Genomic DNA, 18,137 nt, shown 5'->3' on the forward strand with positions numbered 1-18,137 from the left:
TGGCAGCTTGGTGGCATCTTTAATTGGAGGAGGTGTTTAGTGATATTCCCATGTTCCAGATTTTGGGCAGGTGTGTCTGCTGGCAATGGCAGAGCTGCACCTGGAGCTCAGAACTGAGAAGAGAAGACAGAATCTGCTGCCTGGCTGTGTGCACGAGCGTCTGAACCATGCTAACTCACGTTCTGTTCTCTCCAGGTGTTGGCCGAGGTCCTCACGGGCATCCCTGCAATGGATAACAACCGAAGCCCGGTTTACCTGGTAAGGGAACTTGTCACATCTGGCTGGGAGGTATATTTGGGCCTCACAGCTCTGTAGAGAGGGCAACGACCTCAATTCTAGCTAGTTTTACACATGCAAATGAGGCCCGGTACAAGGTTGCATTTGCATCCCCACAAAGCAGCTTTAACCTCCCATCCCCACCTGCCAGCCAACCATTGCTTTTTCATGATAATAGCATCTGGGGCTTGGTGCGGTGGCTCATGCCTGTGATCACAGCCTTTGGGAGACTGATGTGGGTGGATCATTTGAGACCAGGAGTTCAAGACCAGCCTGGCCAACATGGTGAAACCCTGTCTCTATTAAAAAAAAAGAAAAGAAAAAACTTACAAAAAACCCCCAACATTATCCAGGTGTGGTCGCATGTGCCTGTAATCCCAGCTACTCGGGAGGCTGAGGCAGGAGAATCACTTGAACCTGGGAGGCAGAGGTTGCAGTGAACCAAGATTATGCCACTGCACTCCAGCCTGGGTGACAGAGCGAGACTCCATCTCAAAAAAAAAAAAAAAAAAAAGATTTTGGAATGTTTATAGAAAGCACTTGTATAAAAGAGAAAGCACTTCTCTATATATCAGGCAATTCATTAGGGATTTTCCTCAAATTGATAAAAGTTAATTTCAGCCCTTTTAAACAAGTTTCTATAATAAAAACAATTTCCATTTTGTAGGCCAAAGATCTGATATACACAGTCATTTAAAAAATATAACAACCTGGCTGGGTGTGGTGGCTCACACCTCTAATCCCAGCACTTTGGAGGAGGCCAAGGCGGGCGGATCACTTGAGGCTGGGAGTTCGAGACCAGCCTGGGCAACATGGCGAAACCCTGTCTCTACTAAAAATACAAAAATTAGCCAAGCGTAGTGGCACACACCTGTAATCCCAGCTACTTGGGAGGCTGAGGCAGGAGAATCGCTTGAACCCAGGAGACAGAGGTTGCGGTGAGCCAAGATTGCACCACTGCACTCCAGCCTGGGTGACAGAGTGAGACCCTCTCTCAAAAAAGAATAAAAATATAACAACCTAGCCTGACTTTGTGTTAAATACTTTCCATACATTATCTACCTAAATCATCTCAATTTTTCCATGATAGAGTCATTATATTCATCTGCAGATGAGGAAAGCTGGCTCTGAGTTTGGCCTAGGATCTCAGTTGGAATTACCAAGTGTCAGAGCTGGAATTCTGAGTCAGATCTCCCTGAGCCGACATCATGAGTTTTTTTTTTGTTTTTGTTTTTGAGACGGAGTCTTGCTCTGTCGCCCAGGCTGCAGTGCAGTGGTGCAATCTCGGCTCACTACAAGCTCCACCTCCCGGGTTCATGCCATTCTTCTGCCTCAGCCTCCCGAGCAGCTGGGACTACAGGCGCCCACCACCACACCTGGCTAATTTTTTTGTATTTTTAGTAGAGATGGGGTTTCACTGTGTTAGCCAGGATGGTCTCAATCTCCTGACCTCGTGATCCGCCCGCCTCGGCCTCCCAAAGTGCTGGGATTACAGGATCTTGAGTTCTTAACCACAGCAGTCTCCTGCTTGTTTCTTGTGACAGTCCAACCATACGAATTCAGTATTATCATTCCCATTTACAGCTGAGAAAACTGAGGGCAAGCTGAAGTGACTTGTCTCACGCCCCTCAGTGAGACCAGTGGTGGAAGTGGGGTTTAAATTGAACCCAAGGCTTTTGCAGAGTTTCAAATCTCATCCAAACTCTAGTCTTCCTCATCAGTTTGAGAGGGGGCACCTTTTCCTACTGGGTATTGAGGCCATTGGAACAGACAGATTATTATTTTATTTATTTATTTATTTCTGGTGACTGGGCCCCAGAAGCATCCCCTGGGCTCTGGGGTAGGGAGGCTGAAGGCCTCGCTACTCCATGCAGAAAGTCACGACATGTTCCTTTGATGAACTCTGTGAGTTCCACCCCTTTTGGGCAGTCAATCCCATATGCTGCAGAGAGGTCTGTCTGGGCAGCTCAGATGTGGTTTGGGGCTGTTTGGGGGCAGTTTCTCATCTCCTGACTATTTTCTTGAGATGGATTTCCCAGCAGTCCTCTGGGGCTCCCCGGACAAGTGTCACAGTGGAAGGAGGCTTTTGAGGCACTGACAGGAAGTTGTCTAGAATTATTTTTTTGCTAATGATTTCTAAAAATGTGGAAAATAACAATTTTTTAAAATGTAGTTTCTTTCTCTTATTCTAGACTCTTGTATGGTCTCTTATCATGTTCTGTTGTGGTAGGTGCAATCCAATGGTTAATCAAGATTTGAGTCAGGGAGGAAAGCTTGCTGATTTCCTGTGGCCCAGGGTAGGAGGAAGCAGGCCTCCTCCAGGCTTGGGAAAGTGTTAGTTGCCACAGTGTTTCCTGAGGGCATTTGGTGGTTTCCACCTAAATTGAAAATATGAGTACCCTCTGACACGGCAGTTCCATTTGTGCCTAGAGAAACATGCACACATGTGAGGAGAGGCAGATGAACAAGGATATTTGTAGTGGCATTTTTTTTTTTTTCGAGACAGAGTCTCGCTCTGTTGCCCAGGCTGGAGTGCAGTGGGCGTGATCTTGGCTCACTGCAACCTCCACCCCCCGGGTTCAAGAGATTCTCCTGCCTCAGCCTCCTGAGTAGCTGGGACTACAGGTGCGCATCACCACACCCGGCTAATTTTTGTATTTTTTTTAGTAGTGACAGGGTTTTGCCATGTTGGCCAGGCTGGTCTTGAACTCCTGACATCACTCAGGTGATCTGCCCACCTTGACCTCCCAAAGTGTTGGGATTACAGGAGTGAGCCACTGCGCCTGGCCAAATTTAATTTAATTTGATTTAGAGATAGGGAGGGGTCTTGCCCTGTCACCCAGGCCAGAGTGCAGTGGCATGATTGTAGCTCACTGCAGCCTCGAATGCCTGGGCTCAAGCGATCTTCCCATCTTGGCCTCCCAAATTGTGAGGATTACAGGTGTGAGCCATGGCGCCCAGCCTGTATGAGTTTTGACAAATGTATACAGTCATGTAACCACCACCACAATCAAGATACGGAATATTTTTGTCACCCCAGAAAATTCCCTCCACTTACAGGTCCTGGCAATTACTCATCTAATTTCTGTCCACATAGCTCTATCTTCTTTAGAGGGTCATATCAATGGGCCCATGGCAGATGCACCCATTTGTTTCTGTCCCCCTTCATGTAGCATGGTGCTTAGATTCATCCATGTTGTTGACGTGTCAGTAATTCATTCCTTTTCATTGCTGAAGAGTATTCCATTGTATGGATAGATGACTGTTTATCCATTTACCAGTTGCTGGACATTTGGGTTATTTCCAGGTTTTGGCAATTCTGAATAAAGCCAACACAAACATTCTTATTTTAAAAAAATGAAAAAGAGGCCGGGCACAGTGGCTCACGGCTGTAATCGCGGCACTTTGGGAGGCTGAGGTGGGTGGATCACTTGAGTTCAGGAGTTCAAGACCAGCCTGGGCAACATGGTGAAACCCCGTCTCTACTAAAAACACAAAATTAGCCCTGTGTGGTGGCGAGTGCCTGTAATCCCAGCTACTCAGGAGGCTGAAGCAGGAGAATCGCTTGAACCTGGGAGGCAGAGTACAGTGAGTCGAGATTGTGCCACAGCACTCCAGCCTGGGCAACAGAGTGAGACTCTGTCTCAAAAAAATAAAAAAGTAAATTGAAAAAGACATGTATGTTCTGACAGGGACATATCTCCAAGTGAACAAAGCAAATTCAGAATAGTATATAGTATGATCACATTTTTGCTAAAAATAGATGGATGAATGAATGAAAACATTGTATCACATATTTTCTTCTCTATAAATTGAGGATAATAGTAGTACCCCCCCCCACCGACAAGGTATGTTTGTTTGTTATCATTTTTGGAGATAGGGTCTCCTATCTCCTATCTTCTTTGTCACGAAGGCTGGAGGAGTGCAGTGGCATGATCATAGCTCACTGTCACCTCGAACTCCTGGGCTCAAGGGATCCTCCCACCTTAGCCTCCCGGGTAGCTGGGATTATAGGCATGAGCCACTGTGCCTGGCATCTGACAGGTTTATTGAAGGTTAAATAATATGTGAGATGCCTAAAATAGTAACTAGAACATAATAAACAATATATGTTAACTATTAGTATTATCATTATTATTTGAGATAAGGTCTCTGCCACCCTGGCTAGTATGTAGTGGTGCAATCATGGCTCACTGTAACCTTGTACCCCTGGCCTCAAGTGATCCCCTGCTTTAGCCTCCCAAGTAATTGGGACCACAGGCACGTGCCGCCACTCCTAGCTAATTTTTATTTTTATTTTATTTATTTATTTTTATTTTGAGACAGAGTCTTGCTCTGTCGCCCAGGCTGGAGTACAGTGGTGCAATCTCCGCTCACTGCAGCCTCTGCCTCCTGGCTTCAATTGATTCTCCTGCCTCAGTCTCCCAAGTAGCTGGGATTACAGGCATGGACCAACATGCCCAGCTAATTTTTGTATTTTTAATAGAGACAGGGTTTCACCATGTTGGCCAGGCTGGTCTTGAACTCCTGACCTCAAGTGATCCACCTGCCTCGGCGGCCTCCCAAGTACCTGGGACCACAGGCATGTGCCCTCACGCCCAGCTAATTTTTAATTTGTTATTTGTAGAGATGGGGTCTTGTTACGTTGCCCAGGCTGATATTGCTATTATTTTAACAGCTTTTAGGATACTGTTATAATTATTATATAAGTAAATATAAAACCAAAATAATTATAGCTGTATAGCAGAAAATAATATAATCCAAACTATTAGCAGGAGTTACCTTTGGAGAGTAGAAATGAAAGGTAAACTTTTGTCCCCAAATTTTAACCACTTATGTTTAATTTTAATTTTTTTTTGAAATGGAGTCTCCCTCTGTGGCCCAGGCTGGAGTACAGTGGTGTGCTTTTGGCTTACCACAACCTCTGTCTCCCAGGTTCAAGCAATTCTCCTGCCTCAGCTTCCCATGTAGCTGGGATCACAGGTGTGTGCCACCATGGCCCAGATAATTTTTGTATTTTTAATAGAGATGGGGTTTTGCCATGTTGCCCAGGCTGGTCTCGAACTCCTGAGCCCAAGTGATCCTCCTGCCTTGGCCTCCCAAAGTGTTGGGATTACAGGTGTGAGCCACCGTGCCCAGCCAAAAGTTGCTTTTTAAGGGTGGTTTGTTTGAAACTAGACCCCAAAAATGTCCATATATTACTTTGGTTATGTTTGTTTTTTTCATTTTTAAAAAAAAATTTTATGTGGAGATGGGATGTCACTTTGTTGCCCAGGCGAGTTTCGAGCTCCTGGGCTTAAGCATTCGCCTGCCTCAACCTCCCAAAGTGCTGACATTACAGGTGTGAACCACCACGCCCGGGCATGGTTATGTTTCTTAAGACTCTTATTCTTGGCCGGGCACGGTGGCTCAAGCCTGTAATCCCAGCACTTTGGGAGGCTGAGGCAGGCGGATCACAAGGTCAGGAGATCGAGACCATCCTGGCTAACATGGTGAAACCCCGTCTCTACTAAAAATACAAAAAAATTAGCCGGGCATGGTGGCGGGTGCCTGTAGTCCCAGCTACTCGGGAGGCTGAGGCAGGAGAATGGCATGAACCCAGGAGGCGGAGCTTGCAGTGAGCCGAGATCGTGCCACTGCACTACAGCCTGGGCGACAGAGCGAGACTCCGTCTCAACAACAACAACAAAAAGACTCTTATTCTCTCACAACCTCTCCCGCAATGCCCTTTTTCATTTTGGATGTCGTTGGATTTTTGCATAGACTAGGTCATTTGCCCTATGTAGACAGACTGTCTCACATTCTGGGTTTTGCTCATTACATCCTGTGGTCTCCTTCCCTTGTTTCTCTATTCCTCATATTTCCTATATTTGGCAGTTAGCACTTGTGACTTGTTTAGAGTCATGGTCATTGCCTTTGTCAAGAACACTTCCTGGAGGCGCTGTGAGCCTCCCATTGCTTCACTACACGGGGCGTAGCCTGTTGTCCTACTTTTAGTGCTAAGACCGATCAGTGTGTTAAGGTTTTAGTGCTAAGATTGATCAGTGGTTTCAGGTGGAGCTGCCGACTCCTCCATGGTGAAGTTCCCTCGACATCCTTTCATCGCGTGTTCTCAGTCCCCCAACCCCTGTTTAAACACTAGGTGTCTTCTGTAGTTTTTTTGATTATCGTCATAGTCTTTGCATCAAGATACATAGCAATGATGGCAGGTTTCCATTTGGGGCAAATTGTGAGACCCTGCCTCTAGAAAAGAAGAAAATAATACACTTCTACTGTTCTTGATTATCAGCTTTAAACACTAGTACACTTTAAAAAAAAAATAAACATTTAGGCTGGGTGCAGTGGCTCACACCTATAATCTGAGCACTTTGAGATGCCAAGACAGGAGGATTAGTTGAGCCCAGGAGTTCAAGACCAGCCTGGGCAACATAATGAGACTCCATCTCTACAAAAAATTTAAAAATTAGCCAAGTACAGTAGCATGTGCCTATAGTCCCAGCTACTTGGGAGGCTGAGGTGGGAGGATCGATTGAATCGAGGAGGTTGAGACTGTAGTGAGCTGTGATTATATCACTGTGCCCGGCCTATTTTTATTTTTATTTCTTATTTATATTTTGAGACGGAGTCTCACTCTGTCGCCCAGGCTGGAATGCAGTGGCGCAATCTTGGCTCACTGAAGCCTCTCCCTCCCCAGTTCAAGCAATTCTCCTACCTCAGCCTCCCGAGTACCTGGGACTATAGGCACGCACCGCCATGCCCGGCTAATTTTTTGTATTTTTTAGTAGCGACGAGGTTTCACCGTGTCAGCCAGGCTGGTCTCGAACTCCTGACCTCGAGTGATCTGCCAGTCTCGGCCTCGCAAAGTGCTGGGATTACAGGCATGAGGCACCGCACCTGGCCTACAATACATGTTTTTACAATATTTAGTATGTTTGTAACATTCATATATGCTAATCATATATACCATATTACTCATGAAATATACAATATAATTTATATTAAATATGCTTACATATTTGTATAAAATTATTATATAGCATATGTTCTATTGTATGCATAGTTCAGATTGCTGCATTTTATGTGGTACAAAATATAAAATATATGTAAATACAAAATGTATAAGAAGTATAGACATAATATTTTCTTTATAGTGGCTCTCCTGTTATGTATATAGGTCAGAATCCTACATTTGAAATGTTTGTATCATAAGAGATTGTCCATGTAGTTAATAAGATTAAATTATTAAGTGCTTATCATGTAGTAAGTGCCATATAAATGGTAGCTATTATTACTATTAGTTATTATCACTAAAAGACTATTGAATGTTCCGTGTCAGATGTCACTCTCTGTGCTTTAGGTGCACTGTTTCATTGAATGGTTGTGTTAGTCCTAGGTGTAGGTATTTTATTATTTTTTTGAGACAGAATCTCGCTGTCACCTAGGCTGGAGTGCAGTGGCGTGATCTCAGCTCATTGCAGCCTCCGCCCCCCACCTCCCCCACCATAGGTTCAAGCAATTCCTCTGCCTCAGCCGCCCTAGTAGCTGTGATTACAGGCGTGCACTACCAAGCCCAGCTAATTTTTATATTTCTAGTAGAGACGGGGTTTCGCCCTGTTGGCCAGGCTGGCTCGAACTCCTGACCTCAAGTGATCCACTCGCTTCTGCCTCCCAAAGTGCTAAGATTACAGGCTTGAGCCACTGCGCCCGGCCCTGGTGTAGGTATTTTTGTTGTTCCCATTTTCCTGATGAACCAACCGAGGCCTAGAAAAATTAAGGCCCCACGTTTGTGGCATGAGTTCACTATGGAGTGCCCTGTGCATGTAGGAAATCGAATCCTTCTCCATTTCTTGGGGGTTTTACTTCTTTCTGGAATCCTTGCATTTATTCTTACGATGTCCGGTCGGTTTTCTGAGCATTTTTTGCAGCTCTGGAGGTGAGTGGGGCGCGTGCGTTGGCTCTCGCAGCTCTGCAGCTCACGCAAGGGCGTTTCTACCCTTCTTCCCACAGAAGGACTTACTCCTCAGTGATATTCCAAGCAGCACCGCCTCGCTCTGCTCCAGGAAGACGGGCGTGGAGAACGTGATGGCAAAGGAGATCTGCCAGAAGTACCTGGAGAAGGGCGCAGGGAGGCTTCCGGAGGACTGCGCCGAGGCCCTGGCCACGGCTGCCTGCCTGTGCCTGCGGAGGCGTAACACCAGCCTGCAGGAGGTGAGCCTCGCCCGCAGCGGCCTCGCTGCCTGGGCCACGCGTGGGTCCACCTCATCGGGGACGGCCCCTTCGCAGAGGCCTGGTGCACAAACCAGGGTTGTGCTTGCTTGCAAGCCGCAGAACCTCCTAGAGCTCCCATCAGCCAAAGGGCGGTGTAGGGATGGATAGTGCGGAGCCCGAGGACGGGTATTGCAGGGCCTCAGGGCGCAGGACCAAACCCGTGGATGTTAACTGAACTCGATGAACTCTCTGTGAATCGGCTTTATTCCCCCTTCTCTATAGGCCCCTTCCCCTTTCCTCTGTGTTCTCTGGAGGGAACGGCTCTGCCCGCAGTTTATAACAGAGAGATGAGCCTCCACCCTGAGTCCCACCACAGAGGGAGAACCTGATTGGCTGAACTTGGGTCAGTTGTTTACCGCTTGGCCAATCAGGCATGGTGGGGCGGTCCAGCATGCAAACCGGGCTGCCCAGGGCTCCATCCCTGGATGGTGTCGGCGCCAGGTCCCAAAGAAAGGGAGTGTGCTCAGCCCATGCACTAGGCGGACGTCCTAGAAAGCAGCCACTACACGGGGTAAGAGATTTTTTTGGACATGAGAAGTAGCCGTGGCTTCCATGGTAAAAGGTAATCAAGAGACTACTGCTTGATCTTTTTTTTTTTTCTTTTTGAGACAGAGTCTCCTTCTGTCGCCCAGGCTGGAGTGCAGTGGTGCTATCTCCAACCTTCGCCTCCCGGGTTCAAGTAATTCTCTTGCCTCAGCCTCCCGAGTATCTTGAATTACAGGCATCAGCCGCTCTGTCCGGCCTTGCTTGGTCTTTCTAAGGACAAACTCTCCACTGCCTGGGAGGACCCTTAGAAATCATCTAGCAGAGTGATTTTCAAGTGGTGTTGGGCACAGAGGGGCTCCTTGAGAATACTCAGGAATTGCTGTTGGCAGCAAGAGGGGTTGGGGGAGGTGCAGGCCCCCACCTGTGACTCGGACCAGACACCCACTTTTGACTTCTCTCAGTTACTGTATTGGGTTCTCTGGAAAGGGTTTGGTAGCTGGAAAAAATCTTCAATAACCACTGCTGTAGCCCAAGCCTCCCATTTTACAGAAGGGCAAGTGAAGGGCCACAGACGAGAAGATGAGGCCACAGAACTTGTTTTTGTCAGAGCTCTCTGGACTCCCAGTTCAGCCTTATGTCCATCGTCTTGCGCTGTCACGTGGCAGGAGCTGGAGGCTTCAGTCTTTGTTCTCAGCCTTTGCTAGCACAGGTGTCCCCCAAGTGTCCATGTGCCCCGATGTTCAGTCATTCATTCCGCAGTTGTACACTGGGGCCAGGGGACACATCTGTTCGGGAACAAGGCAGACCCAGGTCCACGCTCCTGGAACTCATGGACATTGCATAGTAATTGTCTTTGTGGTGAGCGCCAGGACAGTGTATGATGAGGACCCCACCCTGTTGACCTTCCTGAGGAAGGGGGGTTTAAGCACACGAAGAGCAATCCAGGCAGAAGGAACACCCTGCAAATGGCCTGAGCTGAGAGAGAGCTCAGCACGTTCAAGGGCCTGGAAGAAGGTCCGAAGGGCTAGAACACAACACATGGGGCACAGTGGCTTGTGTTGGGTGTGTCGAGGAAGGAGTTGTCCAATGATAGAAGGCTTTGTAGGCACAGTAAGGATTTTTGCAGAGCCACTAAGGTTTTTTTTTTTTTTTTTTTTTTTTTAACAGAATCTCACTCTTTCACCCAGGCTACAGTGTAGTGGTGCAATCTCGGCTCACTGCAACCTCCACTTTCCAGGTTCAAGCAATTCTCCTGCCTCAGCCTCCCGAGTAGCTGAGATTGCAGGTGTGTGCCACCACACCCAGCTAATTTTTGTATTTTTAGTAGAGATGGGGTTTCACTATGTTGGCCAAGCTGGTCTCGAACTCCTGACCTCAGGTGATCCACCTGCCTTGGCCTCTCAAAGTGCTGGGATTATGGGCCTGAGCCACTGTGCCCAGCCTCACTAAGGTTTTTAAGCAGAGGTAGGACATAATCAGTTTTATATTCTAAAAAGTTCTGTCTCCTTCAACCAATTATTCTTTCAGTAAGACTTTCATTCTTTTATTCATTCCATTATTTTGTTCAGTGTGTCACTTAAGGTGCAGGTGAAACTGCTATAACAAGGAGACTGCAAAATGCAGTGGTTTAAATAAGATAGATGTTTATTCTCTTTAGTGTAACAGTTTGAATTTACGCAGTCCAGTGTTAATGTGGCAGTGCCACAGTATTGGGGACCCAGGCTCCTTCTATGTTGTTTGTTTGCTATCCTTACCATGTGGCTTCCATGTCAGGGTCTAAGATGGCTGCTGTTGCTCAGGCCATCACACCTGCAATCCAGCCAGTGAAAGAGGGTTAAAAGGAAAAGGTGGACACACTCCCTTTCTTTTAAAGATATAACCTGGAAATGCATCACTTTTTCTCACATAATAGAGAGCAGAACTTAGCTACATGGCCACGCCTAGCTCCAAGGAAATGCGGTCTTTAGATTGGCAAATATTTATTGGGCATCTACTGTGAAGATTTATCTCAAGAAGTAACATGTGACCTGGGCCTTGAAGGATGAGACGTTTGCCACGTAAAATAAAGGGGATAGGGCACTTTAGGTGTAAGAAGAGGTAGGAGATGGCCTTAGCTCTTAGTACATCACAACCAAGCTGGGAAGATGAAAGAACAGCTGGGTCAGGGACTGGAAGATAATAAGCAGGCCTGGGTTTGATGGTCACCTTTGCCATTTACTGTACTGGCTGGGTGGCTTTAGGCAGGGAACTTAACTTTTCTGATCTTTTAATTTTTTATTTATAAAAATTCATGCATTGTGTATGAAATGGATACATTAGTGGCCGGGTGCGGTGGCTCACGCCTGTAATCTCAGCACTTTGGGAGGCCGAGGCGGGCGGATCACGAGGTCAGGAGATCGAGACCATCTTGGCTAACATGGTGAAACCCTGTCTCTACTAAAAATACAAAAAATTAGCCAGGCGCGGTGGCGGGCACCTGTTGTCCCAGCTACTCAGAAGGCTGAGGCAGGAGAATGGCGTGAACCCGGGAGGCAGAGCTTGCAGTGAACCGAGATACGCCCCTGCAGTCCGGCCTGGGCGAAAGAGCGAGACTCTGTCTCAAAAAAAAAAAAAAAAAAAAGAAAGAAAGAAATGGATACATTAGTATACTGAATTTTTTGCAAGGCACTGAGGAGATGAGATTTGTTATTGTTATTACGGGTATAAGGGTATGTATGTGTGCTCTGTGTGTGTGTGTGTGTGTGTGTGTGTGTGTGTGTGTGAAGAAGAAACATTCCTTCCTTGCTTCCGTCTAATTTTCCTAACCTCCCTAACCACAAAAACCTTCCAGGGCAACATCTATATTATTTGTGCTTTTTTGATTGAAAGTGTTAGGAACTTAAACTCTTACACACACACACGTGCACGCACACACACACAGACATAGGGAGGGGGAAGAATATGAATGAGTGAATTAGCGAATGAATGAACTTAGTGTCTCATTTAACCAAACAACAGAGAGGACAGGCATTGCTCTGGTTTCAGGGAAGTTAGACCCAGGATCTCAAACACCAAAGGTACAGCCATTGTGTCTCTCTGTCTGTGGCTCTCTCTTCGTTGCTTGCCTCTGCTTTACTCTGTGTTGAGCTTTCATTTTCCCCTACTGTAAATGGGTTTTCTGGGTGTAGTGGGGCGTCTGGTTCTACCACTAGAGAGGAAAGGCTGGAGGTCTTTCCCCAATAAGCTCTAGGTGGAAAAGTTTCAGGGAAGGATTCTGATTGGCCAGCTTCGATCACATGCCCAAATCTAGACTAATCCCTATGGTCAGAGGAGTGGGGTACTATGATCTGCCCATGTTGGGTCACGCCGTCTCATCTATGACAGGGCGGTTGGTGGGCAAGCACAGGTCTTTTCAAAGGAAGGGTGTGGTTTTTTCAGACAAAACAACCAGCATTAGGTTCTTCAGTCTGCTCCCCGCCCCCTCTCTGCTGGGAGGCCAGATGTTAGCATTTCTATTTCAGAGAGAATTCCTGATGAGCTCCCTTCTCTCTCTTCTCCCAAAGGTGTGTGGCTCTGTGGCTGCTGTGGAAGAGCGGCTCCGAGGTCGGGAGACGTTGCTCCCTTGGAGTGGGCTTTCTGAGGGTACAGGCTCTTCTTCCAACACCCCAGAGGAAACAGACGACGTTGACAATTCCAGCCTTGATGCCTCCTCCTCCATGAGTGTGGCACCCTGGGCAGGGGCTGCCACCCCACTTCTCCCCACAGAGAATGGGGAAGGAAGGCTGCGGGTCATCGTGGGAAGGGAGGCTGACTCCTCCTCTGAGGCCTGTGTTGGCCTGGAGCCTCCCCAGGATGGTAAGCCGGAAGTCAGAGTGCATTTGGATGCTCATGTGTGTGTCCCCAACTTCAGCCCATCATTTTTTCTTTCTGTTGCCTTCATTCACTCCTTCATTTGGTTATTCAGCCATTCACCAACCAGCCAGTTTTTCACAGAGAAACCTGGGAGGCATCCTTGACACCTCCCTCTCCCTGCCCTGGACTGTGTCCGGTTAATCACCCAGTCCTGTCCATTGGCCTCCAAAATCTCTCTCACCTCCATCTACTTCTCTGCGTTCCCCCTTTGTCTGAGCTCCTGTCCTCAGGGGACTGCATAGCTTCCCTGAGTCCTCCTCCATCCTGGCCCCTCCCTCACTAGGTCCTTCTCCAGGAGCCAGCCAGAGTAGCTTTTAAAAACACAGTGCCGGCCAGGCGAGGTGGCTCACACCTGTAATCCCAGCACTTTGGGAGGCCGAGGCGGGTGGATCACCTGAGGTCACCCTGGCCAGATCACCTGAGATCGAGACCAGCCTGGCCAACATGGCGAAACCCTGTCTCTACTAAAAATACAAAAAAATTAGCTGGGCATGGTGGCGCGTGCCTGTAATCCCAGCTACTTGGGAGGCTGAGGCAAGAGAATTGCTTGAACCCGGGAGGCAGAGGTTGCAGTGAGCCAAGATTGTGCCACTGCACTGCAGCCTGGGCGACAGAACAAGAGTCCGTCTCAAAAAAACAAAAAACAAAAAACTCAATGCATGTCATCCCTCGTTCAAAGTCCTCAAGGCCCCATGTGGTCTGTTCCTGTCTGCCTCTCCTCTCAACACAAACACCATCCTCACCAGTCACTTCTAAAGATATCTTCCAGGCTGGGTGCGGTGGCTCATGCCTGTAATCCCAGCACTTCCAGAGGCTGGGGTGGGCAGATCACCTGAGGTCAGGAGTTCAAGACCAGCTTGGCCAAGATGGTGAAACCCTGTCTCTACTAAAAATACAAAAATTAGCTAGGCATGGTGGCGTGTGCCTGTAGTCCCAGCTACTTGGGAGGCTGAGGCATGAGAATCACTTGAACCCAAGAGGCGGAGGTTGCAGTGAGCCGAGGTCGTGCCATTTCACTCCAGCCCTGAGTGACAGAGTGAGACTCCGTCTCAAAAAAAAAAAAAAGAAGATACTTTCTGGCTGGGCGCAGTGGCTCACGCCTGTAATCCCAGCACTTTGGGAGGCTGAGGCGGGCAGATCACGAGTTCAGGAGTCCGAGACCAGTCTGGCCAATATGGTGAAACCCCATCTCTCTACTAAAAATACAAAAATTAGCTGGGTGTGGTGGCAGGCACCTGTAGTCCCAGCTACTTGGGAGGCTAAGGCAGGAGAATTGCTTGAACCCGGGAGGTGGAGGCTGCAGTGAGCCGAGATTGCACCACTGCACTCCAGCCTGGGTGACAGAGGAAAACTGTCTCAGGGAAAAAAAAAAGGTACCTTCCATTCCTGCCACTCAGGTCCAAGGATACCAAGTTTCTTTCTGAAATAAAAAATTAGGAAGCCCCCCCCCCCCCCCCCCGCCTTTTTTTTTTTTTGTTTTGAGACAGTGTTTCACTCTTGTTGCCCAGGCTGGAGTATAATGGTGTGATCTTGGCTTATGGCAGCCTCCGCCTCCCGGGTTCAAGTGATTCTCCTGTCTCAGCCTCCCGAGTAGCTGGGATTACAGGCATGTGCCACCATGCCTGGCTAATTTTGTATTTTTAGTAGAGACAGGGTTTCTCCATGTTGGTCAGGCTGGTCTTGAACTCCCAACCTCAGGTGATCCGCCCACCTCGGCCTCCCAAAGTGCTAGGATTATAGGTATGAGCCACCGCACCCGACCAGGAAGGCCCTTTCAATGCAGTGTCCCTGTCCCTTAGTAAACATGGTTCAATGAATGTCCCAGGCTCTGACCACTCCTGTTTCTCTTTTACTCCTCCTGCCATGGGGAGGGGAGAGGAAGAAGAAAGACAGGATGTGAGCATTTTTTTCACTCCACCCTCCCACCCCTCAACATCATAAATAGGAACAGGGAAACCCTCTCCTTTCTGGAAGGCCAGGGTAGGTTGCAGGGCTTCCTGCAAAGACAGAGGAGATGAAAATGCTCATTACAGCTGGGTGCAGTGGCTCATACCTGTAATCCTAGTACTTCGGGAGGACGAGGTGGGCTGATTGCTTGAGCCCAGGAGTATAAAGATCAGCCTGGGCAACATGGTGAAAACCTGTCTCTACGAAAGATGCAAAAATTAGCCAGGTGTGGCCAGCCAGGCATGGTGACTCACGCCTGTAATCCTAACACTTTGGGAGGCTGAGGCGGGCGGATCACGAGGTCAGGAGATCGAGACCATCCTGGCTAAGATGGTGAAACCCCGTCTCTACTAAAAATACAAAAAATTAGTTGGGCGTGGTGGTGGGCGCCTATAATCCCAGCTACTCAGGAGGCTAAGTCAGGAGAATTGCTTGAACCCAGGAGGCAGAGGTTGCAGTGAGCCGAGATTGAGCCACTGCACTCCAGCCTGGGCAACAGAGTGAGACTCCATCTCAACAAATGATAAATAAATAAATAAATAAATAAATGGGCTGGGTGCTGTGGCTCACAGGCCGGGCGTGGTGGCTCACGCCTGTCTGTAATCCTAGGACTTCGGGAGGCCGAGGCGGGTGGGTTGCCTGAGCTCAGGAGTTCAAGCCTAGTCTGGGCAACACGGTGAAACCCCTTCTCTACTAAAACACAAAAAAATTAACTGTGTGTGTCGTCCAGCCTGAGCAACAGAGTGAGACTCCATCTCAAAAAAAAAAAAAAAAAAAAAAAAAGCCAGGTGTGGTTGTGCACGCCTGTAGTCCCTGCTACTCCGGAGACTGAGGTGGGAGGATCACCTGAACCTGTGAGGTCAAGGTTGCCTTGAGCTGAAATTGTGCCACTGCACTCCAGCCTGGGCAACAAAGTGAGACCCTGTCTCGATAAAAAAAAAAGAAAAAAAAAAAAAGAAATGCTCATTACACTCAGGGCCTGATTCAGAAACCTGATTTAAGTGACTTTAAGAATTATAATAATAGTAACTTTCATTCAAGTCGCTCTTGTTTGCTTTCTGTTGAACATCAGTTACAGAAACTTCGTGGCAAATTGAGATCAATGAGGCCAAAAGGAAACTGATGGAGAATATTCTGCTCTACAAAGAGGAAAAAGTGGACAGCATTGAGCTCTTTGGCCCCTGATGACCGGAACACAGCTGAGGACCCTTGTCCTCAGTTGGAAAGATGAGCATCAGATCAAGAAAAAGGTCTGAGGCAGAATCCAAGATCTGCCAGGAAACACACAACAAAACATCTGCTGTCCTGGGTGGGAGGGAAACTTCATTTCACTGGAATGAGTTGGGAGAGAAAGGCCCTCAGCTTTTAGAGACACAAAAATCCATGAAGTCTCTTCCTTTCTGGGCTTTGTTAGTCAGAGCAGGGGATCAGAGGAGACTGAAGCAGAAACCCTGCACACGGGCCCAGGATGTGGCTGATTTTGTGGTTCCGGGGAGTATGTGATGATAATCACCCCCAGCAGATTCCATTACCTCAGCAGCTCTTGTTCCCCCGCCACTGGCAGTTCTGCAATGCCATAGCATTTTCCAGAGCTAAGATCTCTGGGTTGTATTTGCTGACAGCCTGCAAGCTTGCATGCTCTGAAAGATTTTTTTTAGTTTTTAATTTTTTTGTAGAGATGGGGTCTCGCTTTGTTGGCGCAATCCTCCCACCTCAGACTCCCAAAGTGCTGGAATTACAGTTGGGAGCCACTGTGCCTGGCCTGGAAGACTTTCAACTTGTGTCTCAGTGCAGTTCTTGACTCACCTCTCTGGGCCTCAGGTTCTACAAATGCCAGACACCTAGCGAAGAGCTCTGCAGGCTTTCCACTGCCTGTATTGGAAATCTTGCAATTCACATAATTATTCAGTCACTGCCTGGTACCTTTATCTTCCCATCCCACTAATGTTAGTGTTTTTTAATGGAGCTTTTATTCTGAGAATATGTGTTTGTCTGTTTGTTTGTTTTTTGAGACAGAGTCTCACTTTGTCACCCAGGCTGGAGTGCAGTGGCACGATCTCAGCTCACTGCAAGCTCTGCCTCTCAGGTTCAAGTGATTCTCCTGCCTCAGCCTCCTGAGTAGATGGGACTGTAGGCACCTGCCACTATGCCTGGCTAATTTTTGTGTTTTTAGTAGAGACAGGGTTTCACCATATTGGCCAGGCTGGTCTCGAACTACTGACCTCGTGATCTGCCCGCCTTGGCCTATCAAAGTGTTGGGATTACAGGCTTGAGCCACCGCACCCGGCCGAGAATATGTGTTGTTATTTATGACTGGATTATGAAGAATCAGGAGAATGCATTTCATGTCTGATTCTGCTGCTAATTAAGTCAATCATTTAATTTTTGGGACCTCAGTTTCTTTGTAAGTAAAATAACACCTGCTTGTTCTTCATCCCTGGGCTGTTGGGAGGAACAGATGAGACAGTGGCTATAGAAGCACTTGGAAAATGCACTTGTCCTGTTTTGTAAAATAAAAAGGTATTAAATGTGTATTTCTGCCATGTACCTAATGATTATTCAGTGCGTATATATCTGAAAAGTCATGTTGCAAATCTTTCTGTGAAACAGATGCTATTTTAAATTCACTGGGAGAAATATCCTATTTAAAGTAATCTATAGTAATTTCTTTTTATATAATAAAAATATATTTGTAAAGTCGACAGACAACTTGTAATTAGTTTTGTGTCTGGAAGAATTTGTTTAGAGAAGGCACTCTGTATCCTTGAGATGGGGTAGCAAAGAGCTAGGATCCTGGCTCTTACTGTTGACTGTTAATAGCTGCATGATCTTGGGCCCAGTTAGGGAGTTACTCTGAGGCTCTGTTTCCTCATCTGTACAATGGGAAAAAGAAAACGTACGCATCTTGTAGGGTTGTTGTTGGATGGGTCCTGCCTGGTGAAACATTTGGCAGCTCCCCAGTAAGGACAGCTTTGGCTTGATGTGTGATGTAGCTGAGCTGGGTCCCAGTCCAGGTGGACAGTGATCTATACAGACAGCCCTGTCTTCAGCTCTGGTGTCTGTGAGGATTCAAGGTGAATGTGCATTTTGTGCCCCAAATGGGACCTGGCCTGTTGCGAACACTTTACAATTATAAGCAGAGTGTTTCCAGGGCTGTTTGCGCAATAGAGGGCTGACACCAATAGGTTTGTGGTTATCCAGACATACTTACATTTCTAGACTAGGATTTCATATATTTTTGGAGAAGTCAGTAAATCCCCTTGGGACTT

The 18,137-nt window shown here is 47.4% G+C and overlaps 1 protein-coding gene across 1 annotated transcript in view, besides 4 other annotated features; it reads left to right on the plus strand.

Annotated features, from left to right (window-relative positions):
• The window catches only part of IRAK2 (interleukin 1 receptor associated kinase 2), a 78,827-nt gene extending 61,257 nt beyond the window's left edge, over positions 1-17,570 (plus strand). The window contains exons 10-13 of the mRNA NM_001570.4: positions 196-258; positions 8,284-8,484; positions 12,573-12,864; positions 15,941-17,570. Coding sequence (NP_001561.3) covers positions 196-258; positions 8,284-8,484; positions 12,573-12,864; positions 15,941-16,053 — 669 coding nt within the window. The 3' untranslated portion in view covers positions 16,054-17,570. The remainder of the gene's footprint in view (positions 1-195; positions 259-8,283; positions 8,485-12,572; positions 12,865-15,940) is intronic.
• Positions 87-136: an enhancer, noted in NCBI's record as "active region_19421". NCBI's record gives its function as "activates an Ori minimal core promoter by ATAC-STARR-seq in GM12878 lymphoblastoid cells {active_cell/tissue: GM12878}" and the evidence as "EXISTENCE:reporter gene assay evidence [ECO:0000049][PMID:35858748]".
• Positions 250-544: a silencer, noted in NCBI's record as "tiled region #8698; HepG2 Repressive non-DNase unmatched - State 15:Elon". NCBI's record gives its function as "represses a minimal TATA promoter and a strong SV40 promoter by Sharpr-MPRA in HepG2 cells {active_cell/tissue: HepG2}" and the evidence as "EXISTENCE:reporter gene assay evidence [ECO:0000049][PMID:27701403]".
• Positions 7,933-8,535: an enhancer, noted in NCBI's record as "H3K4me1 hESC enhancer chr3:10275792-10276394 (GRCh37/hg19 assembly coordinates)". NCBI's record gives its function as "activates a minimal SCP1, AML or CMV promoter by ChIP-STARR-seq in naive H9 embryonic stem cells {active_cell/tissue: H9 hESC(naive)}" and the evidence as "EXISTENCE:reporter gene assay evidence [ECO:0000049][PMID:30033119]".
• Positions 16,381-16,450: a silencer, noted in NCBI's record as "silent region_14057". NCBI's record gives its function as "represses an Ori minimal core promoter by ATAC-STARR-seq in GM12878 lymphoblastoid cells {active_cell/tissue: GM12878}" and the evidence as "EXISTENCE:reporter gene assay evidence [ECO:0000049][PMID:35858748]".
• Positions 17,571-18,137: the final 567 nt, after the last annotated feature.

This window comes from Homo sapiens, chromosome 3 (assembly GCF_000001405.40).
Source record: "Homo sapiens chromosome 3, GRCh38.p14 Primary Assembly".
Taxonomy (NCBI): Eukaryota; Metazoa; Chordata; class Mammalia; order Primates; family Hominidae; genus Homo; species Homo sapiens.